Source organism: Homo sapiens, chromosome 17 (genome assembly GCF_000001405.40).
Source record: "Homo sapiens chromosome 17, GRCh38.p14 Primary Assembly".
Classification (NCBI taxonomy): Eukaryota; Metazoa; Chordata; class Mammalia; order Primates; family Hominidae; genus Homo; species Homo sapiens.
In genome coordinates this window covers 27,800,055-27,822,546 of record NC_000017.11, presented here as the reverse complement: position 1 = coordinate 27,822,546, position 22,492 = coordinate 27,800,055, and the positions used below count along the sequence as shown (strand labels likewise).

General features: G+C 46.1%; 1 protein-coding gene across 1 annotated transcript in view, besides 63 other annotated features; it reads left to right on the top strand.

Annotated features, from left to right (window-relative positions):
* Nucleotides 5,283-22,054: a promoter, noted in NCBI's record as "16 kb promoter; BamHI/EagI fragment". NCBI's record gives the evidence for it as "EXISTENCE:reporter gene assay evidence [ECO:0000049][PMID:8577713]".
* Nucleotides 5,283-22,389: a biological region, named in NCBI's record as "NOS2 5' regulatory region". NCBI's record gives its function as "regulatory_interactions: NOS2".
* Nucleotides 9,347-12,147: a DNaseI hypersensitive site, noted in NCBI's record as "-10.1 kb, -11.0 kb, -11.5 kb HS cluster (HS VIII, IX in A459 cells; HS VII, VIII, IX in AKN-1 cells); the nucleotide coordinates are approximate for this feature". NCBI's record gives the evidence for it as "EXISTENCE:in vivo cleavage assay evidence [ECO:0001075][PMID:11159021]".
* Nucleotides 11,690-13,735: an enhancer, noted in NCBI's record as "-10.7 kb to -8.7 kb; SmaI/SpeI fragment". NCBI's record gives its function as "cytokine-responsive enhancer" and the evidence as "EXISTENCE:reporter gene assay evidence [ECO:0000049][PMID:9227487]".
* Nucleotides 11,771-11,792: a protein binding site, noted in NCBI's record as "-10.2 Oct-1 site". NCBI's record gives its function as "positive regulation of transcription" and the evidence as "EXISTENCE:protein binding evidence [ECO:0000024][PMID:19467240]".
* Nucleotides 11,933-12,262: an enhancer, noted in NCBI's record as "active region_11913". NCBI's record gives its function as "activates an Ori minimal core promoter by ATAC-STARR-seq in GM12878 lymphoblastoid cells {active_cell/tissue: GM12878}" and the evidence as "EXISTENCE:reporter gene assay evidence [ECO:0000049][PMID:35858748]".
* Nucleotides 13,510-14,510: a DNaseI hypersensitive site, noted in NCBI's record as "-7.6 kb to -8.2 kb HS cluster (HS VI, VII in A459 cells; HS V, VII in AKN-1 cells); the nucleotide coordinates are approximate for this feature". NCBI's record gives the evidence for it as "EXISTENCE:in vivo cleavage assay evidence [ECO:0001075][PMID:11159021]".
* Nucleotides 13,651-13,813: a silencer, noted in NCBI's record as "fragment chr17:26135760-26135922 (GRCh37/hg19 assembly coordinates)". NCBI's record gives its function as "represses an EF-1alpha promoter that drives an FKBP-Casp9 reporter gene in an ReSE screen in K562 erythroleukemia cells {active_cell/tissue: K562}" and the evidence as "EXISTENCE:reporter gene assay evidence [ECO:0000049][PMID:32094911]".
* Nucleotides 13,730-22,185: a promoter, noted in NCBI's record as "-8296/+168 promoter fragment". NCBI's record gives its function as "drives expression in lung, intestine, spleen, kidney, liver" and the evidence as "EXISTENCE:reporter gene assay evidence [ECO:0000049][PMID:9704020]" and "EXISTENCE:transgenic organism evidence [ECO:0001131][PMID:15507544]".
* Nucleotides 13,739-13,756: a protein binding site, noted in NCBI's record as "NF-kBu". NCBI's record gives the evidence for it as "EXISTENCE:protein binding evidence [ECO:0000024][PMID:9712833]".
* Nucleotides 14,349-14,468: an enhancer, noted in NCBI's record as "active region_11912". NCBI's record gives its function as "activates an Ori minimal core promoter by ATAC-STARR-seq in GM12878 lymphoblastoid cells {active_cell/tissue: GM12878}" and the evidence as "EXISTENCE:reporter gene assay evidence [ECO:0000049][PMID:35858748]".
* Nucleotides 15,275-15,285: a protein binding site, noted in NCBI's record as "-6.7 NRE". NCBI's record gives its function as "negative regulation of transcription" and the evidence as "EXISTENCE:protein binding evidence [ECO:0000024][PMID:12381793]".
* Nucleotides 15,878-15,897: a protein binding site, noted in NCBI's record as "TBE2". NCBI's record gives the evidence for it as "EXISTENCE:protein binding evidence [ECO:0000024][PMID:16849547]".
* Nucleotides 16,015-17,062: an enhancer, noted in NCBI's record as "-5 kb to -6 kb enhancer; -4556 Eco47III site to -6006". NCBI's record gives the evidence for it as "EXISTENCE:reporter gene assay evidence [ECO:0000049][PMID:17158780]".
* Nucleotides 16,150-16,389: an enhancer, noted in NCBI's record as "active region_11911". NCBI's record gives its function as "activates an Ori minimal core promoter by ATAC-STARR-seq in GM12878 lymphoblastoid cells {active_cell/tissue: GM12878}" and the evidence as "EXISTENCE:reporter gene assay evidence [ECO:0000049][PMID:35858748]".
* Nucleotides 16,214-16,233: an enhancer, noted in NCBI's record as "-5.8 STAT1 site". NCBI's record gives its function as "enhancer when multimerized" and the evidence as "EXISTENCE:reporter gene assay evidence [ECO:0000049][PMID:17158780]".
* Nucleotides 16,214-16,233: a protein binding site, noted in NCBI's record as "-5.8 NF-kB site". NCBI's record gives the evidence for it as "EXISTENCE:protein binding evidence [ECO:0000024][PMID:11438703]".
* Nucleotides 16,214-16,233: a protein binding site, noted in NCBI's record as "-5.8 NF-kB site". NCBI's record gives the evidence for it as "EXISTENCE:protein binding evidence [ECO:0000024][PMID:9614127, PMID:11438703]".
* Nucleotides 16,420-16,479: an enhancer, noted in NCBI's record as "active region_11910". NCBI's record gives its function as "activates an Ori minimal core promoter by ATAC-STARR-seq in GM12878 lymphoblastoid cells {active_cell/tissue: GM12878}" and the evidence as "EXISTENCE:reporter gene assay evidence [ECO:0000049][PMID:35858748]".
* Nucleotides 16,607-17,207: a DNaseI hypersensitive site, noted in NCBI's record as "-5.0 kb to -5.3 kb HS cluster (HS II, III, IV, V in A459 cells): the nucleotide coordinates are approximate for this feature". NCBI's record gives the evidence for it as "EXISTENCE:in vivo cleavage assay evidence [ECO:0001075][PMID:11159021]".
* Nucleotides 16,720-16,737: a protein binding site, noted in NCBI's record as "AP-1u-GAS". NCBI's record gives the evidence for it as "EXISTENCE:protein binding evidence [ECO:0000024][PMID:9712833, PMID:12788789]".
* Nucleotides 16,790-17,084: an enhancer, noted in NCBI's record as "tiled region #4166; K562 Activating DNase matched - State 4:PromP, and HepG2 Activating DNase unmatched - State 4:PromP". NCBI's record gives its function as "activates a minimal TATA promoter and a strong SV40 promoter by Sharpr-MPRA in K562 cells, with weaker activity in HepG2 cells {active_cell/tissue: K562 | HepG2}" and the evidence as "EXISTENCE:reporter gene assay evidence [ECO:0000049][PMID:27701403]".
* Nucleotides 16,803-16,823: an enhancer, noted in NCBI's record as "-5.2 NF-kB/STAT1 site". NCBI's record gives its function as "enhancer when multimerized" and the evidence as "EXISTENCE:reporter gene assay evidence [ECO:0000049][PMID:17158780]".
* Nucleotides 16,803-16,823: a protein binding site, noted in NCBI's record as "-5.2 NF-kB/STAT1 site". NCBI's record gives the evidence for it as "EXISTENCE:protein binding evidence [ECO:0000024][PMID:11438703, PMID:12788789]".
* Nucleotides 16,805-16,825: a protein binding site, noted in NCBI's record as "GAS site". NCBI's record gives the evidence for it as "EXISTENCE:protein binding evidence [ECO:0000024][PMID:12788789]".
* Nucleotides 16,906-16,923: a protein binding site, noted in NCBI's record as "AP-1d". NCBI's record gives the evidence for it as "EXISTENCE:protein binding evidence [ECO:0000024][PMID:9712833]".
* Nucleotides 18,097-18,122: a protein binding site, noted in NCBI's record as "NF-kB site 4". NCBI's record gives its function as "mediates induction of transcription by histamine" and the evidence as "EXISTENCE:protein binding evidence [ECO:0000024][PMID:17478759]".
* Nucleotides 18,180-18,199: a protein binding site, noted in NCBI's record as "TBE1". NCBI's record gives the evidence for it as "EXISTENCE:protein binding evidence [ECO:0000024][PMID:16849547]".
* Nucleotides 18,452-18,481: a protein binding site, noted in NCBI's record as "HMGA1 site 1". NCBI's record gives the evidence for it as "EXISTENCE:protein binding evidence [ECO:0000024][PMID:18279675]".
* Nucleotides 18,521-18,660: a transcriptional cis regulatory region, noted in NCBI's record as "-3506 to -3375 regulatory region". NCBI's record gives its function as "postive regulation of promoter activity by Hmga1" and the evidence as "EXISTENCE:deletion mutation evidence [ECO:0005510][PMID:18279675]".
* Nucleotides 18,522-18,558: a protein binding site, noted in NCBI's record as "HMGA1 site 2". NCBI's record gives the evidence for it as "EXISTENCE:protein binding evidence [ECO:0000024][PMID:18279675]".
* Nucleotides 18,560-18,588: a protein binding site, noted in NCBI's record as "HMGA1 site 3". NCBI's record gives the evidence for it as "EXISTENCE:protein binding evidence [ECO:0000024][PMID:18279675]".
* Nucleotides 18,592-18,616: a protein binding site, noted in NCBI's record as "HMGA1 site 4". NCBI's record gives the evidence for it as "EXISTENCE:protein binding evidence [ECO:0000024][PMID:18279675]".
* Nucleotides 18,619-18,643: a protein binding site, noted in NCBI's record as "HMGA1 site 5". NCBI's record gives the evidence for it as "EXISTENCE:protein binding evidence [ECO:0000024][PMID:18279675]".
* Nucleotides 18,645-18,669: a protein binding site, noted in NCBI's record as "HMGA1 site 6". NCBI's record gives the evidence for it as "EXISTENCE:protein binding evidence [ECO:0000024][PMID:18279675]".
* Nucleotides 19,319-19,454: a transcriptional cis regulatory region, noted in NCBI's record as "CCTTT microsatellite region". NCBI's record gives its function as "length of microsatellite is correlated with promoter activity" and the evidence as "EXISTENCE:reporter gene assay evidence [ECO:0000049][PMID:10506586]".
* Nucleotides 19,319-19,454: a tandem repeat, noted in NCBI's record as "CCTTT microsatellite region". NCBI's record gives the evidence for it as "COORDINATES:sequence alignment evidence [ECO:0000200][PMID:9434180]".
* Nucleotides 20,477-20,497: a protein binding site, noted in NCBI's record as "-1532 FKHRL1 site". NCBI's record gives the evidence for it as "EXISTENCE:protein binding evidence [ECO:0000024][PMID:16687394]".
* Nucleotides 20,498-20,515: a protein binding site, noted in NCBI's record as "DR4". NCBI's record gives the evidence for it as "EXISTENCE:protein binding evidence [ECO:0000024][PMID:11891851]".
* Nucleotides 20,498-20,515: a protein binding site, noted in NCBI's record as "DR4". NCBI's record gives the evidence for it as "EXISTENCE:protein binding evidence [ECO:0000024][PMID:11891851]".
* Nucleotides 20,498-20,515: a protein binding site, noted in NCBI's record as "DR4". NCBI's record gives the evidence for it as "EXISTENCE:protein binding evidence [ECO:0000024][PMID:11891851]".
* Nucleotides 20,498-20,515: a protein binding site, noted in NCBI's record as "DR4". NCBI's record gives the evidence for it as "EXISTENCE:protein binding evidence [ECO:0000024][PMID:11891851]".
* Nucleotides 20,986-21,001: a protein binding site, noted in NCBI's record as "-1026C/A AP1 site". NCBI's record gives the evidence for it as "EXISTENCE:protein binding evidence [ECO:0000024][PMID:20430007]".
* Nucleotides 20,986-21,001: a protein binding site, noted in NCBI's record as "-1026 YY1 site; binding is increased with C allele at rs2779249". NCBI's record gives the evidence for it as "EXISTENCE:protein binding evidence [ECO:0000024][PMID:19402223]".
* Nucleotides 20,986-21,001: a protein binding site, noted in NCBI's record as "-1026C/A NFI site". NCBI's record gives the evidence for it as "EXISTENCE:protein binding evidence [ECO:0000024][PMID:20430007]".
* Nucleotides 20,988-22,105: a promoter, noted in NCBI's record as "-1034/+88 promoter". NCBI's record gives the evidence for it as "EXISTENCE:reporter gene assay evidence [ECO:0000049][PMID:8607810]".
* Nucleotides 21,055-21,078: a protein binding site, noted in NCBI's record as "rs1800482 Ku70 site". NCBI's record gives the evidence for it as "EXISTENCE:protein binding evidence [ECO:0000024][PMID:16105645]".
* Nucleotides 21,481-21,503: a transcriptional cis regulatory region, noted in NCBI's record as "AP-1 site". NCBI's record gives its function as "negative regulation of promoter activity" and the evidence as "EXISTENCE:site-directed mutagenesis evidence [ECO:0005528][PMID:11919177]".
* Nucleotides 21,589-22,389: a DNaseI hypersensitive site, noted in NCBI's record as "HS I; the nucleotide coordinates are approximate for this feature". NCBI's record gives the evidence for it as "EXISTENCE:in vivo cleavage assay evidence [ECO:0001075][PMID:11159021]".
* Nucleotides 21,678-21,708: a protein binding site, noted in NCBI's record as "TCF11/MafG site". NCBI's record gives the evidence for it as "EXISTENCE:protein binding evidence [ECO:0000024][PMID:17928287]".
* Nucleotides 21,746-21,767: a protein binding site, noted in NCBI's record as "KLF distal site". NCBI's record gives the evidence for it as "EXISTENCE:protein binding evidence [ECO:0000024][PMID:12590140]".
* Nucleotides 21,813-22,105: a promoter, noted in NCBI's record as "-205/+88 core promoter". NCBI's record gives the evidence for it as "EXISTENCE:reporter gene assay evidence [ECO:0000049][PMID:8607810]".
* Nucleotides 21,816-21,844: an enhancer, noted in NCBI's record as "AABS". NCBI's record gives its function as "enhancer when multimerized" and the evidence as "EXISTENCE:reporter gene assay evidence [ECO:0000049][PMID:12958187]".
* Nucleotides 21,817-21,844: a protein binding site, noted in NCBI's record as "XBE". NCBI's record gives the evidence for it as "EXISTENCE:protein binding evidence [ECO:0000024][PMID:20637858]".
* Nucleotides 21,821-21,841: a protein binding site, noted in NCBI's record as "C/EBP site 4; AABS". NCBI's record gives the evidence for it as "EXISTENCE:protein binding evidence [ECO:0000024][PMID:9685183, PMID:11474579]".
* Nucleotides 21,838-21,866: a protein binding site, noted in NCBI's record as "RARE". NCBI's record gives the evidence for it as "EXISTENCE:protein binding evidence [ECO:0000024][PMID:17306764]".
* Nucleotides 21,841-21,861: a protein binding site, noted in NCBI's record as "KLF proximal site". NCBI's record gives the evidence for it as "EXISTENCE:protein binding evidence [ECO:0000024][PMID:12590140]".
* Nucleotides 21,870-21,894: a protein binding site, noted in NCBI's record as "STAT site NOS-1". NCBI's record gives the evidence for it as "EXISTENCE:protein binding evidence [ECO:0000024][PMID:15950906]".
* Nucleotides 21,899-21,916: a protein binding site, noted in NCBI's record as "NF-kBd". NCBI's record gives the evidence for it as "EXISTENCE:protein binding evidence [ECO:0000024][PMID:9712833]".
* Nucleotides 21,940-21,966: a protein binding site, noted in NCBI's record as "STAT site NOS-2". NCBI's record gives the evidence for it as "EXISTENCE:protein binding evidence [ECO:0000024][PMID:15950906]".
* Nucleotides 21,953-21,960: a protein binding site, noted in NCBI's record as "P-Oct". NCBI's record gives the evidence for it as "EXISTENCE:protein binding evidence [ECO:0000024][PMID:22349263]".
* Nucleotides 21,953-21,960: a protein binding site, noted in NCBI's record as "P-Oct". NCBI's record gives the evidence for it as "EXISTENCE:protein binding evidence [ECO:0000024][PMID:26271992]".
* Nucleotides 21,988-21,993: a TATA box. NCBI's record gives the evidence for it as "COORDINATES:motif similarity evidence [ECO:0000028][PMID:22349263]".
* Nucleotides 22,018-22,492, top strand: part of NOS2 (nitric oxide synthase 2) — a 43,764-nt gene continuing 43,289 nt past the window's right edge. Inside the window, exon 1 of the mRNA NM_000625.4 lies at nt 22,018-22,208. The gene's annotated coding sequence lies outside the window, so the exon portion shown is untranslated. The remainder of the gene's footprint in view (nt 22,209-22,492) is intronic.

Here is a 22,492-nt window from a genome sequence, read left to right as displayed (position 1 = left end):
AATCTGGGCACCTTGAAAAAAGAACAGGATAACAGCGATGCTCAGGGAACAAGGGAGATAACCATTAGGTCTGACTGCCTGAGAGCCAGGCAGAACAGAGCCATATTTCTCTTCTTACAAAAGCGAATAGGAGAAATATCGCTGAATTCTTTTTCTCAGCAAGGAACAGCCCTGAGAAAGAGACACATTCCTAGGGGGAGGTCTCTAAAATGGCTGCTCTAGGAATGTCTGTCTTATACGGTTGTGGATAAGCGATGAAATAAGCCCCGGTCTCCCGTAGCGCTCCCAGGCCTATTAGGACGAGGAAATTCCTGCCTAGTAAATTTTAGTCAGACTGGTTGTCTGCTCTCAAGCGCTGTCTCCTGATAAGGTGTTATCAATGACAATGCGTGCCCAAAACTTCATTAGCAATTTAAATTTTGCCCTGGTCCTGTGATCTCGCTCTGCCCCCATTTGCCTTATGATATTTTATTGCCTTGTGAAGCATGTGATCTCTGTGACCCACACCCTATTCATACACTCCCTCCCCTTTGAAAATCACTAATAAAAACTTAATGGTTTTGCGGCCTGGGGGCCATCACAGAACCTGCCGACATGTGATGTCTCCCCTGGACACCCAGCTTTAAAATTTCTCTCTTTTGTACTCTTTCCCTTTATTTCTCAGACTGGCTGACACTTAGGGAAATAGAAGAGAACTTACGTTGAAATATTGGGGGTGGTTCCCTTGATAAACAGATATTTTACCAACTCTTTGGTGGAGAGGTAGGAAACAGGTTTTCCATGACACACCACATGGCCAGACTTCATCAAGGCCACCTCATCGCCTGCTCTCCCTCAGCCTCACTCACCTCCTCTTCCGCTACATCTTCCTCTTAGCTCTCTCCTGCTTCCCTTTCTGGTCAAGAGCAATTTCACCCTCTTGCCTTCTCCCCTTTGCCTCCTCATGCCCACTCCCTCAGCCTGCACAGAGCGTTTCTCCAGTGTAGTCTCTGGTCCATCTGCATCAAAATCACCTGCAGGACTTGCTGACAATGCAGTTTCCTGGATCCCACCCAGGACTCAAAAAAACTAGGAATTGGGAGAAGAGGGACCTGGAATCGGTGTTGCTAGCAAGCCCCCAGGTGGTTTGTAAGTGGACTAAAGTTTGAGGACCAGACATGGAAGGTTGGCTTTGGCACCATCAGCTGGATCCAGGAATTTGGAGCCAGGTTGATGGGGTCAAGTGGTATTATACGTGGTGGCCTGTGGGTAGGAAAGCCACCATCTGGGGGTGCTCTATTCAGAAAGGGACTGTGACATGGCCCTACTATTACTGCGTCCAATCTCTGGGGTGAAGGAGGAAACTGCATCACTCTGCTTTGCATGTGGCAGGCCCTGCTTGGAGGCCAGCAATTGATCCCCTTTTCAAAAATTAGGGTAGAAGTGATATGCAGTGCACAAAATCTAATTGTGCAGCTTGATTGATTTTGACATAATTATACTCCTGTTGAACCACTGCCCCCATCAAGATCTACAGCATAGGCTTCCTTGAGCCCCTTCCTCATACCTCCCTGCCACTACTGTAACTACTATTCTGACCTCTATCACCATGGATTAATTTTGTTTGTTTTTGGACTTTGTGTAAATGGAATCACACGGGCTGTACTCTTTTGTATTTGGCTTCTTATTTTTTGAGGCAGAGTCTCACTCTGTCTCCCAGGCTGGAGTGCAGTGGCACAATCTCAGCTCACTGCAACCTACACCTCCTGTGTTCAAGTGATTCTCCTGCCTTGGCCCCCCAAAATGCTGGGATGACAGGCACGAGCCACCATGCCCAACCATATTTGGCTTCTTTTACCCCACATTATGTCTGTGAGATCCATCCATGTTTTTGCACATAATAGAGAGTCTGTCTTTTTCATTGCTGTTTACCAGCGGTCAGCAAACTATTTCTGCAAAGAACCAGATAATAAATACCTTTGGTTATGAAAGCTATAGTCTCTGTCACAACTATTCAACCCTGCCATCATAGCTCAAATGCAGTAATAAGCAACACACAAACAAAAAGTAGGCTACAGTTTGGCCTGTGGGTCACAGTTCACCAATCTCTGCTGTACAATATTTTGTTATAAATAATCATGAATATACGACATGGAAGAATGAGTTATGATGAGAATTAGAAATAATTATGAATAAAGCACTATGTATTCAGTTACCCATTCTCCTGTTATGGGTATCTGGGTTATTTCCAGTCTGGGATGCAATGATTAGTGCTGCACTGTGTTTGGTGAACATATTATGCACACATTTTGTGCTATTGTCTTAGTAGTTACTGCCAAGCAGTTTCTCAAAGCAGTGGTACCAAAGCACACTCCACTAGTAAAGTTGCTTCACATTCTCAAGAACACTTGATACAGTCAAATTCTTTAGCTATAGCCATTTAGGTAGGTGCATCGTGGTATCTCATTGCAGATTTTAATCTGCATTTTCCTCAAGATGAATGATGTTGAGCACCTTTTCAAATGCTTGTTGGTCACTTGGATATTCTCCTTTGTGAAGTAAGAATTTTCTAGTATTTCTAAACATTGAATTATTTGTCGTTTTCTTGTCTTTTTCTTGTTGATTTATAGAAGTTTGATATATATTTTGGACACAAATGCTTTGTTAGATATCAGTCCACAGTTTGCCTTTTCACTTTTTTTTTTTTTTTTTTTTAAGACAGGAGACAGAGTCTTGCTCTGTTGCCAAGGCTGCAATACAGTGGCATGATCTTGGCTCAGCTCACTGCAACCTCAGCCTCCTGGGCTCAAGTGATCCTCCCATCTAAGCCTCCCAAGTAGCTGGGACTACAGGCATCCACCACCATGCTTGGTTATTATTACTTTTTTTTTTTGTAGAGATGTTGTCTCACCATGTTGCCCAGGCTGGTCTCGACCTCCCGGGCTCAAGCAACCCTCTTGCCTCAGCCTCCCAAAGTGCTAGGATTATAGGTGTGAGCCCCACACCTGGCCACTTTCTTAATAATATCTTTTAATGAAGGATGGTTTTTAATTTTAATGAGGTCCAATTTAACAATCTCTTCTTTATGGTTAGTGCTTTTTGTGTTCTGTTTAAGAAATCTTTGCCTGCCCAAAGGTCATGAAGATATTCTCCTGTTTTCCTCTAGAAGCTTTATTGCTTTACTTTTCACATCTAGGTTTATGATCTGTCTTAATTCCTTTTTCTGTTTGATTTGAGGTAGGAGTCAATGTTCATTATAGTTCATATAAAAATCCAATTGTTCCAGTACCATTTAGTGAAAAGACTATCTCTCCCCCATACATAGTGATAGGAAGGCTGCATTTAATGTCGAGCTCTAGTCTTTAAATGGAATCTGAACACCTGTAGTGTTTTCAAAGTCTCTAGACTATGGGTCAGGAGGAAGAAATGAAGGGGAGTGGGTCTAGATGCTCTAGGCATCTAGCGTCATCTGGCGTCATCAGCTCTAAAATGAAGGGCATCCAGGGAAAGGAGGTTGATTCTTTCCATCTGTGGAGTTCTCTGACTTTGTAACACAGAGTATCCATTAGGCCTCAATTTTTCAGCTGTTGCTGGAAAAACCAGAGATTTCCAAGAAGCTACCCTTGGGAAAAAGAACCCAGCTTTGCATTTTAAAATGTTTTCATTACTCTTCATATCGCTCAAGCCAAATTTTGCTTCCGGAGGAAAACAGGCTCTAAACCATGAAAGACTAAGTAAGCCAGTGCTAGCAGCAGCAGTAACTGGGGAAAGTCCTGTGTATTTCAAGACCAAGAACTGTTTATTTCTGTCAGTGAAAGAGAAAGGGTGACCTGGCTCAGGTTTTGAAGACATCAGACTGTGGGCTAATATTTTCCAGACAGATGACTACTGTCCAGTGCTTTCCTGGACCACTCCCCAGGGCCTGCTCTCTGGCTACGTGAGCCTGGGCAGCCACTCTGCATCTGCAAAAGGCAAAAAAGCAGCTTTTGTGTACATCACACTGATTTCTGGCACTGGATGTTGGTTTTTTTCCCCCACCATTTCCAGAGTGGGAACAACTTGTGTGGGTTTGGACTTGGCTGATGGGCACCGAGCCAGGGAGTGGGTGTGGAGGTAGGGCCTTGGCCCTCAGGTTGATGCTGGAGGAGTATTTCATTCCCTGACTCGGGGTTTATTCCTGAACACCCGGAGTCTGTGGGGAAGCTGCGCCTGGGAATAAGGCACCTTCGGATCTGTGGGCTGTACTATCCCGGGATTATCCTTGGAGTCTGCTCTCTTTGGAAAGCAATAGTAATTGCAATTAACAAAAATTTCTTCTCTGCCTTATTAATCAATGCATTTGTCCAACAGATATTTATTGAGGCAGGCACTATGCATAGCACTTATACATCCATAAGCAAAACAGACAAAAATCCCTGCTTTTGTGGGGCCTTCATTCTAGTGAGGAGAAACAATGAACAAATAGTAAGTAAATGATGTAAGGTGTGAGGTTGAGCTCTGGGGGAGATGCACAGAGCAAGGTGGGGGGGTCAGGAGGGTTGGGGGAAGGAGGGCTGTCATTTTAAATAGGGGTGGCAAGGCTGGCCTCAGTGAGGAGGTGACACATGAGCAAAGACTGGAAGTGCAGGGAAGTGAGTCATGTGTTATCTGGAGGAAAAGTTGTCCATGCAAAGGAAACCTCTGTGGAGGTCTCAAGGCTTTGTCTCACCCCAAGATTAGGCAAATTCTAAATCTGAAGCTTAAAGGAGTAAAGAAGAAACTCCCTCCTTCCTTCTGCACATATTGATTGAGTGCCTGCCACATACCAAACACTGTCACACTCTGTGGTTCTCCTCGAACAGAGAAACAAAGGACGGAGGACTCTCCAGGCCTCTCAAAACAGAATTTGGACATCTTCAGAAATGCCCCCAGTGTGGCAGGCCAGATAGGAATTTAGTGATAGATTAAGTCTCTCTCTAATATTAGAACCTCATAGATATCCCTGAAATGAAATGAAATTGTAATGTGTTCACTCCAACTATTTTTATTTCATCTCAACTAACCCCTATCTTCTGAGGTTTTGATGGGCATTTTAATTAAATCATGAAGAGCCCTTTGTCTCCCGAGAAGGGGGATTGAAGCCTCTCCATCCCTCCGCCTCTCTCCTACCCTGAGTGCTAAGGAATGTGCCTTGTTCTCAGCAGGGTGTTGGGGTGGCAGGACCCAGTTCTGGACACAGCCTTCACCCCAAATCCTACTCCCAAGATCAGAAGGAATCTTCCCAGGAGAGAAAGCAGCAGCCACTCCCAGATGGAGCAGCTGCTGGATCCTGGGTACTTGATAAACATCACTGAAAACAACTTGCCCCCATCCTGTGTGTCTATGCATCCTCTCTGCCCTGGCCTGTTGTAAGCAGCTGTGAACCTTCCCATCATTACACTTCAACTTATGGTTTCCTAACATGATGGGCCAGATCTGTCTGTTGCTGTGCTGAGAATAATCTTGCCTGATTAGTCCATGCTCACATTTCTATAAAGAAATACCTGAGACTAGGCCGGGTGCGGTGGCTCATGCCTGTAATCCCAACACTTTGGGACGCCAAGGCAAGTGGATTACCTGAGGTCAGGAGTTCAAAACCAGCCTGACTAATATAGCGAAACCCAGACTTTACTAAAAATACAAAAATTAGCCGGTGTGATGGCAGGCACCTGTAGTCGCAGCTACTCAGGAGGCTGAGGCAGGAGAATCGCTTGAACCCGGGAGGCGGAGGTTGCAGTGAGCCAAGATTGCACCACTGCACTCCAGCCTGGGCAACAGAGCAAGACCTTGCCAAAAAAAGAAAAGAAAAGAAGGAAATACCTGGGACTAGGTAATTTATAAAGAAAAGAGGTTTAATTGGCTCACAGTTCTGCAGGCTGTACAGGAACCATGATGCTGGCATTTGCTTCTGGGGAGGCTTCAGGAAGCTTTTATTCATTGCAGAAGGCAAAGCAGGCATCTTACATGGCAGGAGCAGGACTGACGGAGAAGGGGGAGGTGCTGCACACTTTTAAAACAGCTGGATCTCATGAGAACTCACTCACTATTACGAAAACAGACCAACAGGGAAATCCACCCCCACCATCCAATCACTTCCCACCAGGCCCACCTCCAACACTGAAGGTGACAATTTGACATGAGATTTGGGTGAGGACACAGATCCAAACCATATCATTGAGGATTTGTCTTTCATCAATTCATTCATGCACTTGTTCATTCTATAGTCATTTGTTCATTTCCATTTTCATGTCCCACAGGTCCTTTAACATTAACGCCTCCAAAATAGACTTCCTGATTTTATCCTTGTCCTAAATTAGTTCCTCGGCCTGCCTTTCCTATCTCAGTCAGGGGCATCCCTGCCCCCCAGTCTCAACAGCCAGAAACCCAGAAGTCACTGCTGTCACCTCTGCTCCCTTATCTTCCATATAAATTCATCTTCAAGTCCATCTCCAACATTTCTAGCCCTACTTCTTCCACTCATCCCCTGTGTGACCTTGGGTAAGCTGATGAACCTCTCTGTGCCTTTCCCCATAGTAACATGGTGATAATAATATCACTATCTCAGAGAATTTTTTCGATGGCTGTAGGAGTTACTGCACATAAAGAACAGTATCTAGCGCATAATAAGAACTAAATATATGCTAGCCTACAGAGATGATGGGAGTAGGTTTTTCTCATCCTGTAGCCAGATGGGAGTCCATGGTAATTCATAAGATTACATTTGTAATGTAATGCTTTAATTTGAATGCATGAAATATTACATTAAATTATAATAAAGGAAAAAACTTTATCTTAACAAAAAATGATACAGTAAAAGAATAATGGCATGGAAAACCAGTCACATATATTATTTATTAAGCAAAAACAATACCACATTACAAAACAGTGTATATGGAGTGATCTCATTTTTATAGAAAAATTACGTGTGTGTGTGTGTGTGTTTGTGTGTGAACAGAAGAACCAGCCAAAATGGTAATAGTGTAACTACCCTCTGGGTGGTAGAAGTATATAGAGTTTTAATCATATTTTCATTGATCTATATTTTTCTACAATAAATTATATATAATTTTTTTTTTTTTTGGAGAAAGAGTTTCACTCCTGTCATCTGGGCTGGAGTGCAGTGGTGTGATTTTGGCTCACCACAGCCTCAACTTCCCGGGCTCAAGTGTTCCGCCCACCTCAGCCTCCTGAGTAGCTGGCACTATAGGCATGCACCACCACACCTGCTAATTTTTTAACCAGCATTTTGCCCTGTAGAGACGGGGTTTCACCATATTTCTCAAGCTGGTCTCGAAATCCTGGGGTCAAGTGATCCACTCTCCTCAGCCTCCCAAAGTGCTGGGATTACAGGCATGAGCCACTGTGCCCAGCCACATATAATTCTTATAATAAAAAAGTTAACAAAAATAAAAGTGAGCAATTGCCGTACCCTTTGGTAGCTCTCTTACCTATAGGATGAGGGGCCCACACTCCTTGGCACAGCCCCCAAGAGCCTATGATCTGGTCCCTTCTATGATCCAGTCATTTCCCTTCCCCTCCCAGCCACACACATGCACAGATACACACATGGATGCACACACTAGAATCATAGTGTCCCCTCCAAATCTCATGCTGAAATGTGATCCCCAATGTTGGAGGTGGGCCCTGGTGGGGAGGTATTTGGGTCATGGGGCGGATTCCTCATAAATGGCTTGAGGCTATCCTCATGTTAATGAGTGAGTTCTCACTCTTGAGTTTATGCAAGATCTGGTTTTTAAAAAGAGTTGAGGACTGCCCTCCGACACCCATCTCTCTCTTGCTCCCTGTCACCATGTGATGTGCTGGCTCCCATTTGCCTTCTGCCATGATTGGAAGCTTCCTGAGGCCCTCACCAGAAGCAGATGCCAACACTATGCTTTGTGTACAGCCTGCAAAATGTGAGCCAAATAAACCTCTTTTCTTTGCAAATTACCCAGTCTCATGTATTCCTTTATAACAATGCATATCAACTAATACAGAAAATTGGTACTGAGGAGTATACCAATTTTGTAGTGTACCAATATTAAGTGTACAATATTGTAGTTCAACAATATTGAGCTACAGTTGACTCTTGAACAACAGGGGTTTGAACTGCATGGGCCCACTTATAAGTGGATTTTCTTCTGCCTCTGCCATCCCTGAGAGGAGACAGCAAAACCAACCACTCCTCTTCCTCAACCTACTCAACCTGAAGATGATGAGGATGAAGACCTTAATTGTGATCCACTTCCACTTAATGAATTGTAAATATATTTTCCCTTCTAATATATAAAAAAATATATATTTTTTGAGACAGGGTCTTGCTCTGTTGCCCAGGCTGGAGTACAGTGGTGCAATCATAGCTCACTGCACTCTTGAACTCCTGGGCTCAAGTGATCCTCCCACCTCAGTCTCCCAAGTAGCTGGGACTAGCTACTTGGCATCCACCATTGTGCTCGGTTAATTAAAAAAAAATTTTTTTTGTAAAGATGGGGTCTCACTTTGTTGCCCAGGCTAGTCTCAAACTTCTGACCTTAAGTGATCCTCTTGCCTCAACTTCCCAAAGTATTGGGATTACAGGTATAAGCCACCCTGCCCGGCCACTTATGATTGCCTTAATAACTTTTCTTCTCTAGCTTACTTTATTGTAAGAACACAGTATATAATACATATAAAAATATGTGTTAATTAACTATGTTATCGGTAAGATTTCTGGTCAATAGTAGACTATTAGTAAAGTTTTTGGGGAATCAAATGTTATACACGGATTTCAGACTGTGCAGGGGTCAGTTCCTCTAACCCCCCACATTGTTCGAGGGTCAACTGTACTTAGAATTCCCCAACCCCAGCCCACTTTTTCAGGCCTCCATTCCTTTGCATGTGCTGTTTGCTTTGCCTAGAACTCCCTTTCTTTCCTTGTCAGCTCAGTGAATACGTTCTTCAAACCCTTGTGCAGTGATCCACACAAAACAACATTGACAAGTTGTAGTTCAATAAAATTTAACACTTTTGCTTTGCAAGATACACTTTAAGAAACTGCAAAGACTGGGAGAAAATATTTGCAAACCCCATATCCAACAAAAGATTTGTACCCAGACTACAGAAAGAATCCACAAAACTCAACAGTAAGAAAATAAATAACACATTTAAAGACCGGGGCCAGGCATGGTAGAATCCTAGCACTTTGGGAGCCCGAGGCGGGTGGATCACTTGAGGTCAGGAGTTTGAGACCAGCCTGGCCAACATGGCAAAACCCTGTCTCTATTAAAAATACAAAAAGTAGCCAGGCATGGTGGCAGGCACCTGTAGTCTCAGCTACTCAGGAGGCGGAGGCAGGAGAATCGCTTGAATCTGGGAGGCAGAGGTTGCAGTGAGCCAAGATTGTGCCACTGCAATCCAGCCTAGGTGACAGAGCGAGGCTCCTTCTCAAAACAAAAACAAAAACAAATTTAAAGATTGAGCAAAGGTTTGAATAGACCCTTCACCAATGAAGATAAAGACATTTTACATGCTTTTTACAAGCATGTAAAAAGATGCTCAGGCCAGGTGCCGTGGCTCACACTTGTAATCCCAGCACTTTGGGATGCTGAGGTAGGTGGATCTCTTGAGCCCAGGAGTTTGAGATCATCCTGGGCAACAAATCTAGATCCCATCTCTACCAAAAAAAAAAAAAAAGTTAGCCAGGTTTTGGCATGCACCTGTAGTCCTAGCTACTCAGGAGGCCGAGGCAGGAGGATCACTTGAGCCCAGGAGGTCGAGGCTGCAGTGAGCTGTGACCACACTACTGTACTCCAGCCTGGGCAACAGAGTGAGACGCTGTCTTAAAACAAAAACAAAAACAAACCAAACCCTGTTTAGGTGCCACTTGTTCTGGGAATCCTCCCCCATCCTCCCGACACTCTGAGTTACATGGGGAAAAGCATATTCAGACAGACAGCAGCTTGGGTATGTGGAAGGTAGCAGGGGAGCTGAGGATCTTCCTGAAGGATTCCCTGAGTTAGACAGTAACTGCCACATAACGTTATGCGAGTGGTTCAACCTCTCTCGCCTCATGGAGAGAAAACCCAAGAGTCTTCATGTTCTACGTGGATTGATGGGTTCACCAAGAGATCATAAAAGCAGTGATTTGATAAAGTCATTAATAGGGCTGTAAAAAGGTTGATTGCCTTTCCAACAAAATTCGGCAAAGTTATTAGCTTCCTCAGAACCCTAGCCAATGCCGTATCAGGGTGCTTTCCAGGGTCGTCCCTTATCATAGTCCATACGCCTCTCCTTCCTCAATGCCTGCAAACTGCTGGCTCTCATTTGTGCCATAAAATAGCAGACTTCCTCAATTAACCAATAGTACCTGTGCCAGACTCTGTCATGGAGCTGCAAAAATGCAAGTTCCCTGAACAGGTTCTTCCAGAGAGCAAGAGGTTACGGTAAAACTCTGGGCAATAAGGAAGCTGGGCCACATGGCGGGAATCATGCAGCCTGGGGAGACTTTGGGACCCTGAAGGCAGTTCTCTCCAGGGCCTGGGTTCTCTCCACCCTGCCTGCCTGTGGCGTCCTGGTCTGGAGCTCAACCCCTCACTCCCTGCTCCTCCTGCAGCAACCTGCCCTGTACTCCCCACTGCAGGCTTCTTCTGCCTGCAGCTCCATCCGTCATCTCTCTGGGGGGCTTTTGGATACCAACTCTGCTATCAATCACCACTCTTCTGTCTCCAGTTCAAACCTGCAGGGCCTGAGGTCCATCAGGGTACCTCTGAGGCCACTGGCTGCTCCCTGGTGACATGCCCACCCTTGTCCAGGCAACTGGAGGGGTCACATGATACACATCAGGGAAACAGGCCAAGGAAACCCCTCAGAAGTGGGCCATGCCAGGGCAGATGGGCTAATGAGGAGTTCTTCCAGATAGGAGTTAAGTACTAAAGACAAAACAATTAATATGGAATTAAAGACACAACCAGGACCTGGAACAAAGTTGCAATCACAAAGCTGTCTGTGTTTCTTGCATTTTCTCCACCTCTTCCAACCCACTGCGGGCTTCAGTTTTCCCTTCTGTTAAGACTGAGAGCATGTATTTCCCACATTCCCTTCTTCATCCATGTGCATTAGATCATCCGGCAAGATAAACAGCAGCCCTGTGACATATATCCCCATTGTCCCCATGTTACGTATGAGGAAGGTGAGTCACATGGATGAGCCAAGAATCTTCCCTAAGTGGGCCTGGCTCACGGCGCTGCTGGCCTCTCGTAAGCAGCTAGTGGCAACCTCAGCTGAGCACTCCATAAATTAAGTGCTCAATGCTCACTGCAGGCTGGAGCCTCAAGTGAGCACCACTGCCGCCGCCAGTCCCCCGTTCCAGCAATTTATTTTAATCCCCTCTTCTTTTCCTCCTGACCTTTCAACTGCCCCAGGTAACAAACTATTTACATGGAAACTACCCAACAGACAGCTAATCTTGTACTGGTCTAGAACAGGGGCAGTAAATACAGGTCATTGGTCATCTGCCCAGGGCAGATGCGGGTGGCTACTTTTTCCTACTGAGCCTTAAAACTACAGAACTTTAACATTGATCTCACTGCAAGGCTCTGAGCAGCCATTCCTTGTCTATGAAGGTTGGCACAATGGATAAAATTCACTGGCCTTGGAATCTGATTCACCCTTCTGTGGGGTTTGCCTGGGGACCTGCAGTTGATCTCAGATCAGCACTAGTTAGATGCTGCCCTCTCTCCACACCCATCCAAAGGCCTAAATAGGAGGCTCAGGTCTTCCTGACAGTAAGAGTGGTGCTTGGGTATGCAAATGGCTGGGAGGATATCCTCTTCCGAAGCCTGTGACAATCCTCCCAGGGTTGCTCTGTGACTCCCACTCCCTCGATGACCTGCTGCAGCTTCCTGCCATATGTAAATCTCTTGCCTGGCTTTCCCCGTCCCCCCTCCTTTCCACTGCCCCACTTCTCAAGCTCTTTTCCAGTAGATAATTAGTGGAGTGGCATTTATATACACACTGGATGAGAAACAGACTGGAAAAACGAAACTCCTATTTATTGTGGACCTGCTATGTGCCACACCCTCTGCAGAAACTTGTGTGACTTTTCTCTTTCTCCTTCCATTTCACAGAAGAAGAAACTGAAACTGATGAGTAATAAAACTTGTGTCACCCAGAATGGGGCCCCCTCCAGGGCCTTCCACAGGCTTAGGGGAATCCAGGTCACCTGTGTGCTTAAGAGCCACCGAGGACGAAGGCAGATTGGACATCTGGAACCACGATGGTCAGGGGCAGGCTGCAGGTTGCTATGTCTCTACTTGATGCAGGTCCTCAGGGAAGCAGGCTGTCCCACCAAAATCAGAGCTCAGAACTCAGGGTCAGGTATCTACTCCCATATGTCCATCCATCCATCCATCCATCCATCCATCCATCCATCCGTTTGTCACTCACTCATTCGTCAATGGTCCATTGGCTACTTCACATCCACTAGAAGCTATATGACACAAAAAAGAAAGCCCATTACTGGTGTTGTCAAGGATGTGGACTGATTGGGACCCTCTTCCTATGCTGGTAGTGATATAAAATGGTGCAGCAGCCACTTCAGAAAATAGTCTGGCAGTACCCCAAAAAAGTTGAACATAAAGTTTCCCTATGACCCAACAATTCTATTCCAAGATAATTGAAAGTACATGTTCACACAAAAACCTGTACTCAAACATTTATATTTGGACAGCAATATTCACAGTGACCAAAAAATAGAAACAACCCAAATGGCCATCAATTGATGAATGGATGCATAAAATGTGGTATATCCATACAGTGGAATATTACTAAGCCATAAAAAGAATGAAGAACTTAAACATGCCACGTGAATGAACCCCAAAAACATTATAAGTGAAACAAGCTAGACACAAAGGGCCAAATATTATATGATTCCATTTGTATAAAACATCCAAAATAAGCAAATCTATAGTGAAAAAAAAGTAGATTTAGTGGTTTCTAAGAGTTGGGGGTAAGAAATAGGGAGTGACTGTTAATGGGTACAGGGTTTCTATTTGGGGTGACAAAAACGTTCTGGAATTAGATAGTGGTGATAGTTTCATAACTTTGTGAATATACTAAAAACCACTGAATTATACTCTTTAAATGGGGGAATTTAATGGCACGTGACTTTTTATCTCAACAAAACAAAATCCACTGAGCACCTAGTCTGGGCCAAGCATGCTGCTGGTGCTGCAGAGATGTGAGACATGACCTTGGCCTTGGGAAGCTTGTGTCTAGTAAAAGAGACAGAGCAGTGAGACCACAATTAAAACAGTGGGATCAGTGTTGAGGAGAGGGGAGCCTAAGGGATTTGGGGAACCCCAAGGGGCTTGAGGATGGAGGGTCAGGGGAGCCCCTAGAGGCAACAATGCCATGAAGTAAAGCAGAGTCTGAAGGGGATTCGAGTCAGGGCAAGGGTGGGCTAGGGAGCTGTCGGGAAGGACATTCCAGCAACAGGGAACAGTGTGTGCAAAGGCATGGCTTACTAGAGAGCTCCTGGAGTTGGGGGGAGCTCTGAAATGCAGGCCAGGATGAGACAGGCTAGACACAGGTATTGGAAGCAGAAGTTCAAGGTTCTTCCTTCCGGCATGGGAGCTTCCCTTGTAAGCTCAGCAGGAGGACAGCCTTTCCTCCTGTTGGGGACTGTCACCTCCTCTGAGAGTACTCCCCCAGGCTTCCCTGCCCAACCCCGCCCCCACCTGGCCTCTTGGGCCCTCCCGGGAGCCCCTGGGGAACTCCTGCATTGCTCAGTCCTTCCTCCAGGGCCCTGACAGCATCACAGATCATTTCATTGATTTTCCTGCCTCTTCCCCAGGAGCTGTCTTTGCCCTTTAAACAGTTGTTGTCTACAAGAGCTTGGTCTTGGGTGAGAGAGGGCTGCCTTGAGCCTCAGACCGGTGGTGTCCCTAAGATGCTCCTCCCAGAAGCATTTGGAATCAAATGGACCTGAATCTTGGTTCTGCAGCTTTAGCTGTATGATCTTGGGAAAAATTCTTTAATCTTCCTAAGCCTCAATTTTGTCATCTGTAAAATAGGGTTGACACAGCTCACCTCACAGTGTGGTGGTGTGGAATGCATGAGATAACACATTAAAAAGGCCCTGGCAGTCAGCTGGGCATTGTTTCTTGAGCTCCAGCATGTGCCAGGTGCTGGGAGAATAGCAGTAGGCAGAGCCAGCCAGCTCGGTGCTGCTGCTCTGCTAAAGCTACAGCTACGCTCCGGCTCTGGCAAGATAGGAGCGTGCTCAAGCTGAACTGCAGGGCAGGTGCTGCGTACATCCTCTCGCTACTCCTCCCCAAGGCTTGAGGAGGTGGGGACTCTGTGATTATCCACACTTTACAGATAAGCAAACTGAAACCAAAAGTAACCTCTCCAATGCCCACAGATGAATTTAGGTGGCAGGCCTGAGACTTGTCCCTGAGTCTGCCTGACAGTGGCCTCTGCCGTTATTAATAGCTTGCCCCCCACAGCCTCCCACTCAAATTGCTGGAGGAATTACCCTTCCTCCCTTCCTCCAATTCTTCCTTCACCCACCAAGAGCCAGACCCCACCTCTGTTTCAAGAGTGAGCCGCTCAGCTTTGGCCAACCGTCCTAGCATTTCGATGCACTTGGCCTGTCCCCCTGGTTTCCACTCTGTTTTTAAGGAGGCAGCCCCTGTCCCCCAAATGCACCGCCTCCAACAGGCTCTGGGACTCATCTTGCCATCTCTATTGGCAGCAGAGTGGGGAGGGAGAGAGACAGCCAGCTTGTCTGCCATCACTCACCACTGGATCCCCAGGGCCCAGCTTGGAAAACTCACGGACGATGCTCAGAAAACCGGTGTAACTCCTGCAGAACAGCCAGGGGCGTGGGCAGCCGCCCTCTCTGTGCCTCCTGTAATGAAAATGGGTGCTAGAGGCTCTTTTCCTTTGGGAAAGGTGAATTACTGGCACAGCCACACGTCTGAGATAGTATTTCAAAAAGTAAGGAGTCACTTTTTATATTATAAAACTAACATATGCACAGATAGCAAATACAGAGAAGGGTAAAGAAAAGATAACTATTGCCCATAATTCTACCACTTTTTAATATTTTAGTATTTTTTTCTCACATTTTTTCTGTCTTTATTTTACATGTTAGGGGTTATCATTTTTCTACTGATATCATGAACATTATTTCTTATCATAAAGACTCTTTTTTTTTTTTTTTAAGAGATCAGAGTCTCACTGTTGCCTAGGCTGGAGAGTGCAATGGTGCAATCATAGCTCACTGCGGTCTCTTAATTCCTCAGCTCAAGTGATCCTCCCACCTCAGTTAGTAGCTAGGTCTACAGGTGCTTGTCACGATGCCCAGCTAAATAAATCCTTTTTTTTGAAACAGGGTCTCACTTTGTTGCCCAGGCTGGGGTGCAATGGTACAATCACAGCTCACTGCAGCATCGACCTCCTGGTCTCAAGCGATCCTCCCACCCCAGCCTCTCGAGTAGCTGGGACTGCAGGTGTTCACCACCACACTTGGCTAATTTTTGTAATTTTTGTATTTTTTGTACAGACAGGGTTTTGCCATGTTGGCAAGGCTGGTCTCAAACTCCTGGGCTCAAGCAATCCTCCCATCTTAGCCTCCCAAAATGCTAGAATTTACAGGCATGAGCTACCACACCTGGCCAAAAAATTCTTAATACACTTTTTTTTTGGCCACGTAATGGTACACTATAAAGCTGGCCTGGTGTGCCTTTCTCTATGCTGATCACTTGGGTTGTTTCTGGCTCTCGTAGAGAGCGATGCTCCAGACATCTCTGTGCACACAGTGGTCAGGCTCTGCAGAAGTTGCCAGTCGTTGCTACATTCTGCCTTTCAGGGGCACTCTGGTGGGGAAGATAACTTTTCCAAGAGCATCAAAGACCAGATATGTATGAGGTGGGGAGACTCAGAAAGCCCAGATACCACAGCTGGAAAGGCCTCAGAGACCCTTAACTGAGGAAAGGGAGGCCCGGAGGGCTTATGTGGCCTAACCAAAGATGCAGCGCTTCTTAGGGAAGGATACAAGAGGGTGGGCTTAGCTGAAGCTCTTGGCATTTAGAACTTCTTGGATCAGCATCCAGCACCCTCAGAGGCTGTACCTGGGGAGGAGGTACCTCTCTTCCTCCATTTGACCCAATTCTAAACCCCCTGTAGCAGTGACGTCTGTCTTCGTCTCATTCCAGTGCACTTTGTGAATTCTAGAGGGCTTTCCCAGAACCAAGGAAGGCTGCTCTGCCCACAGCAGGCCTTGGGAATTTAACCTCCCTGGGAGCAGCCTCAATGAGTGATGCTCTGGAACTGCTGGGTCAGTAGCCCAGCCCCTGGCCCCTTGGATGGGATCATTTGAAGCCCTGTTTTCTGCACCATTTTTCAAGTTCCCTGGTGGGGCTGAGTCTGGTTGCAAATCGTGAAAGCTGCCCTATAGTACTTTTACCAGCTGCCTCCCTTTCTCTGTCTCACTTCCTCATTCCCCTCCTGATGTCCCCTGCACTTCCCAGATACACTACTTGCCCCTGAATCTTGCCCCTTGAACCATCACACCCTGGGACTACCCCAGGTGCCACTCTGTTTGTTGTTTCTCCGCCTAGAAGGACGGGCACCCAGGAAGCAAAACGGGAGGGCAGGGAAGGGAGGGTGTTCTGGGGAGGCTTGACAAGAAACGAGGCTTTTAAAAGAAACAGCAGCAAAGTGCCAGGCCTGCACCAGCCAGCTTGAGTCACACTCCAGGGACTCAGCAAAGCTTGTCCACCTTCCTGGTCCACCCTGGGCCTGTCCATCCTGGAGTGACCACCGGGCGTTTCCAGTAAAAATCCCTTCACTTCACTTCCGTCATCTCCGAGTCAGGCAAGGTGGTGGAAACCGGGGAAGACCTCAGCTTCGGAGCTGCTGGAATTTGTGTGACTCACGCCCTCCAGTGGTCACTTGACAAATGACATAGGGCTCACGGTCTGGGGACTTGAGCTTGTTAGGGCCTCAGAACCGGGAGGGTCCCAGGAATGCCTCTTCTCAATGCCTTCCTTTGACAGCTGAGTGGAGTGAAGGCCCCACAGGACACGTGACTCGCCACGGGACATGCACACACACAAATAGAGAGTAAGAGCCACGCCCCTGTGTTTCCTTCACGTCCCACCTTTATCATTTGTGTCACATCTGCATGCACCTATACTGTTATTTGCTTAAACATTTTACCTTAAACTGGCTCTCTTTAAACCTTAAATATATTTCTAAAATAAAATTTTTATCACTTTCTGTGAGGCGGGGCACACAGTAGGAACTCCGTCTCCTCCTTCCATGGCCTTGCACAGAGCTGGCACCAGACACTGACATGGAGGGGAGAACATTCAACCCCAGGTAATCCTCAGCTCCTACCTTGATCTCAGTTTCCCACTCTCTCATTGTCACCTCTCCTTGCCCCTGGGTGTACTCACCTGTAGCAAAATGGGTAAGCACACAGTGGGCGCACAAGTGGGGTCCAGTCAAGGTCTCAGACCTGGGTCAGTCCTCAGCTTTGCCACTTACAAACTGAGTGACATTGAGCTGGTCGCTCAAACTTTCTGTGTCTCGGTTTCCTTATTGGTGAATTGGGGATAGTATTATAATAGTACCTGCCACACAACGTTGTTGGAGGATTAACTGAGATAATAAATGGAAAGCCCAGGGCCTGGCTGTATTTATGGAGCAAGCACCAGAGCAAGTGCAAGCTGGGACTCCAGGGTTGTAGCCCTGCCACCACCTGACTGTGTGGTCTTGGACAAGTCATTTGGCTTTGCTTAGCCTCAATTTCCCCATCTATAAAATGGGGCTAGTGATCATTCCCACCCCATAGGACTGTTGTGTGGATTAAATGCTTGGTATGTTTAAGTGCCTTGCTCAGTAAACGTTAGCTCTGATCAATTGTTTTTGTAGAAAAGCCTTCAAAGTTGCTAACTTCCGAGGGCTAACTGGATCTGAACCATCTTCACAGCCTGGCATAGAAACAGATCAAATCAATCCAGTGGAAAATCAATTCCAGGATAATGAGCCCAAGACATTCCCGTGCTGATTGCTGTCAGCATGGTGCCTAGGACAGCCTGGGAAGGCAGGGAGGAGGGCATTTCTCCACAGCAGCCTCGGAACCTCTATCGCCACCCTCCGGGGGGCCCACCTGTCCCCCGCCTGCCCTTCAAGGTGCTCTTTGATTTCTCCCCAGCAGAATTCACCTGCTGCATCCATCATCAGAAGAGGCCAGGAATGCGGCCTGCTGGGTGGGCAGGGCCAAGAAGAAGGCAGCCGTGCAGGCCCAGGAAGCCGTAGGAGACTTGCCAACCTCCAGGAGGGGGCCAGCCCTGGACCCTGCAGACAGGCGCTCTGGGGAGGGTACCAGAAGCTCACTGTTTGTCCCGGCTTGAAGGCTGTTTGCTGTGTGACCTTGGTGAGTCTCCTAACCTCTGTGTATCATCACAATCATTATCACTATTTTTACTCTCCTCCTCTTCCTATTTGCCGGTTAAGAGAGGATTGGGATAGTGGTCATGGTTATACAACATTGTGAATATTCTAAAAACCATTGCATTTTACACTTTAAAATAGTTAATTGGTAATTTTATGTTATGTGAAATTTATTCCAATTAAAAATTAAAAATACATACATGAATTTAATGTTACAAAGGGAGAGAGAGGACCGGGAATTTAAAAGCAGGTGTTTGTGGTGGGACGGGGACCTGTCTGAGGAAGGATACTTCAGAAGGCAAGTCCTGGCATCCACTTGCTCTTTGTCAAAAGGGAAATTGTTACTCTCTGACTCCCAGCAAGGATAATAAATTCTTACTTGGCTGACTTTTTGCTCAATGGCTCAAAGCATTTTCTTGTATCTCGTTTATTTACTTTTATTTTTATCACCTTTTGTCACGAGAAAAGTCAGGCCCAGAGAGAAGTGGCTTTTCCAAGATCACATGGTAGGTCAGCAGTGAAGCTGTGCCTCGAACCTGGGACCTTTCAGGCTAAAGGAAACCAGAACATGCCACGCCCAGATATGCCGATATGGCATCCTGATTATCTCCAGCTGAAGGCATTTGAGAAAGAGCAGCTAGAGAGAGGGCTATCTGAACTGCCCTGTCCTGCCTGCAGCAAGCCATAAACATTCCTTGGAGAAAGATGCTTTCCCAGCATCAAGATGAGAAGATAACTTTTATCAGCTCAGAGATGGCACCAGAGCCATCTACAAATACAAACAAACCTTGCTATCCTACTCCTTAGCTCACTTCCACATGTTTACCTTCTCACAGCTTGCCACCCCTGGAAGCCTACAACTGCATTCGTCTTGTCACCTTTCTCTTCTTTCTTTCTTTCTCTCTTTCCTTTCCTTTCTTTTCCTTTCCTTTCCTTTCCTTTCCTTTCCTTTCCTTTCCTTTCCTTTCCTTTCCTTTCCTTTCCTCCTTTCCCTCTTTTTTTTCCTTTTTTTTCTGAGACAGGCTAGGGTGCAGTGGCGCGACCATAGCTCTCTGCAGCCTCTAACTCCCAGACTCAATTGATCCTCCCACCTGATCCTCCTGAGTAGCTAGGACTACAGTAGCTGGGCATGCCACCATACCCAGCTAATTTATTTTCAATTTTTCTGTAGAGATTGGATCTCACTATGTTGCCCAGGCTGGTCTCGAACTCCTGGCCTCAAGCAATCTGCCCACCTCAGCCTCCCAAATTGCTGGGATTCCAGGCATGAACCACCGTGCCCAGCCATCTTGTCACTTTCTAAAATGCATTGCTCTTCATGGCAGATGCTCCATAAGCCAGAGTTCTAAGCCGCAGCATTGAGTTACTTTCACTGAGGCTTCTCCTGCGTGGTGTGCATCACAGACATTAACAAACTTGCTTTTTTTTCTCTATTATTAATCTGTCTTTTGTTACAGTGTCTTTCCCAACAAATAACTTAAGATGATTGAGGAGAAATTATATTTCCTTCCCAGCTGGCTAATTCCAAATGTGTCCTCAAGCCTGGTGCTTGGACTCAAACCCTGCCACAGGTCAAGAATGCCACACCAAGCAGACGCTGTGTTAGAGGGGCACCTGAGGTGACATGTTTGACAGATCACATAACTGAATAACTGCATTTTCTGAAGGAAAATCAACGAAGTGCTTTGAGGCCAAGTAGATGGGATTCTTGAGGATTCCATGAATAGCAAATAGTAGTATCCCCCTCAGAGGCTCTTGGGTGGGGGCATTAAATGTGTTAATACATGTGTTTGCTGCAGGTATAGCCAGAATATGTGAAAGCAGCTACAGGGAATAGAGTGTAGCAAACTCCTAATCATCCCTCAAAACCCTGCCCTGGTGTCCTCTCCCTTGTAAACTTTCCTTGAACAAGGCAGAACCAGCTACATCAGCACCATACCATCCCTCCATCACTACAGATATCACTCTGTACTATAATTATCCATTTATTTTTCTAGGCCTTGCACTCCCTAAGGCCAGGATTCTGACTCTTTCCCTGAGTGCTGTTTACCTGAACTGAACCGGCATGAACCACCACGCCCGGCCATCTTGTCACTTTCTAAAATGCATTGCTCTTCGTGGCAGATGCTCCATAAGCCAGAGCTCTAAGCCGCAGCATTGAGCCGCAGCATTGAGCTGAAGCCTGAAGGGAAGATGGCTTTGATATGTTAAAACTCATTCCAGTTTACTCCTATTTTTCATTCATTCATCCACACATTCACTCAACAAAGATCCTTGAGCTCTGATATCCATGTCTTTTTTGTGGCTCTTAGTTTATCTTTGACAAAGTTAATATATTATGCTGAATTTAACTTGGGAAAGACAAGAAGGAAATGAGTGGACAGTGGTAGCAAAGTGTTGGGACGGTGAGATCAAGGGTGACTTTTTTTCCCTTTGCTTCTCAACTTCTCCCTAATGTAGTTGTTATTTTACTTTTATGATGGAAAAATGCATATGTATGGGAATACTGTATTTCAGGCATTATAAGGAATGAAATTATAGGCCGGGCATGGTGGCTAACCCTTGTAATCCTAGCACTTTGAGAGGCTGAAGTGGGCAGATCACTTGAGCTTCAGAGTTCGAGACCAGCATGGACAACATGGTGAAACCCAGTCTCTACCAAAAACACAAAAATATTAGCTGGGTGTGGTGGTGCATGCCTGTAGTCCCAGCTACTCAGGAGGCTGAGGTGGGAGGATCGCTTGAGCCTGGGAGGCAGAAGTTGCAATGAGCAGAGATCGTGCCACTCCGCTCCAGTCTTGGTGACAGAATGAGACTCCATCTCAAAAATAAATAAATAAATAAAATAAATGAAATGAAATTATAAGAAATTACCACTTTTTCATGTAAGAAGTGATCATTTCCATTATAAGGGAAGGAATTTAATCCTACCTGCCATTCCACCAAAGCTTACCTAGTGCTAAAGGATGAGGTGTTAGTAAGACCAACATCTCAGAGGCCTCTCTGTGCCAATAGCCTTCCTTCCTTTCCCTTCCAAAAACCTCAAGTGACTAGTTCAGAGGCCTGTCTGGAATAATGGCATCATCTAATATCACTGGCCTTCTGGAACCTGGGCATTTTCCAGTGTGTTCCATACTGTCAATATTCCCCCAGCTTCCTGGACTCCTGTCACAAGCTGGAAAAGTGAGAGGATGGACAGGGATTAACCAGAGAGCTCCCTGCTGAGGAAAAAATCTCCCAGATGCTGAAAGTGAGGCCATGTGGCTTGGCCAAATAAAACCTGGCTCCGTGGTGCCTCTATCTTAGCAGCCACCCTGCTGATGAACTGCCACCTTGGACTTGGGACCAGAAAGAGGTGGGTTGGGTGAAGAGGCACCACACAGAGTGATGTAACAGCAAGATCAGGTCACCCACAGGCCCTGGCAGTCACAGTCATAAATTAGCTAACTGTACACAAGCTGGGGACACTCCCTTTGGAAACCAAAAAAAAAAAAAAAAAAAAGAGACCTTTATGCAAAAACAACTCTCTGGATGGCATGGGGTGAGTATAAATACTTCTTGGCTGCCAGTGTGTTCATAACTTTGTAGCGAGTCGAAAACTGAGGCTCCGGCCGCAGAGAACTCAGCCTCATTCCTGCTTTAAAATCTCTCGGCCACCTTTGATGAGGGGACTGGGCAGTTCTAGACAGTCCCGAAGTTCTCAAGGCACAGGTCTCTTCCTGGTTTGACTGTCCTTACCCCGGGGAGGCAGTGCAGCCAGCTGCAAGGTGAGTTGCCTTCATTTCTGGGGAAGCGGCTGTTTTGAGAGGGTTTTGTTTCTTCCTCTTTGAGAAGGCTCAGAAAATTGTGGGAATTTTCTGCCTACAGAGAGAAGGTGTTGGAAAGTCTAGGTAAAAAAATGCCGACATGAGGTTTGGTCATTTGAACATGGCATCTTGGTCAGATTTCTTTTCTGCAAATATTAGCTGTGGTTGTTACATGACAAGGAAAAACTTTCTGAAAAGTTCAAAATGGGAGTTTGTATCTGCTAAGAATTTTTTTTAACAGAGAT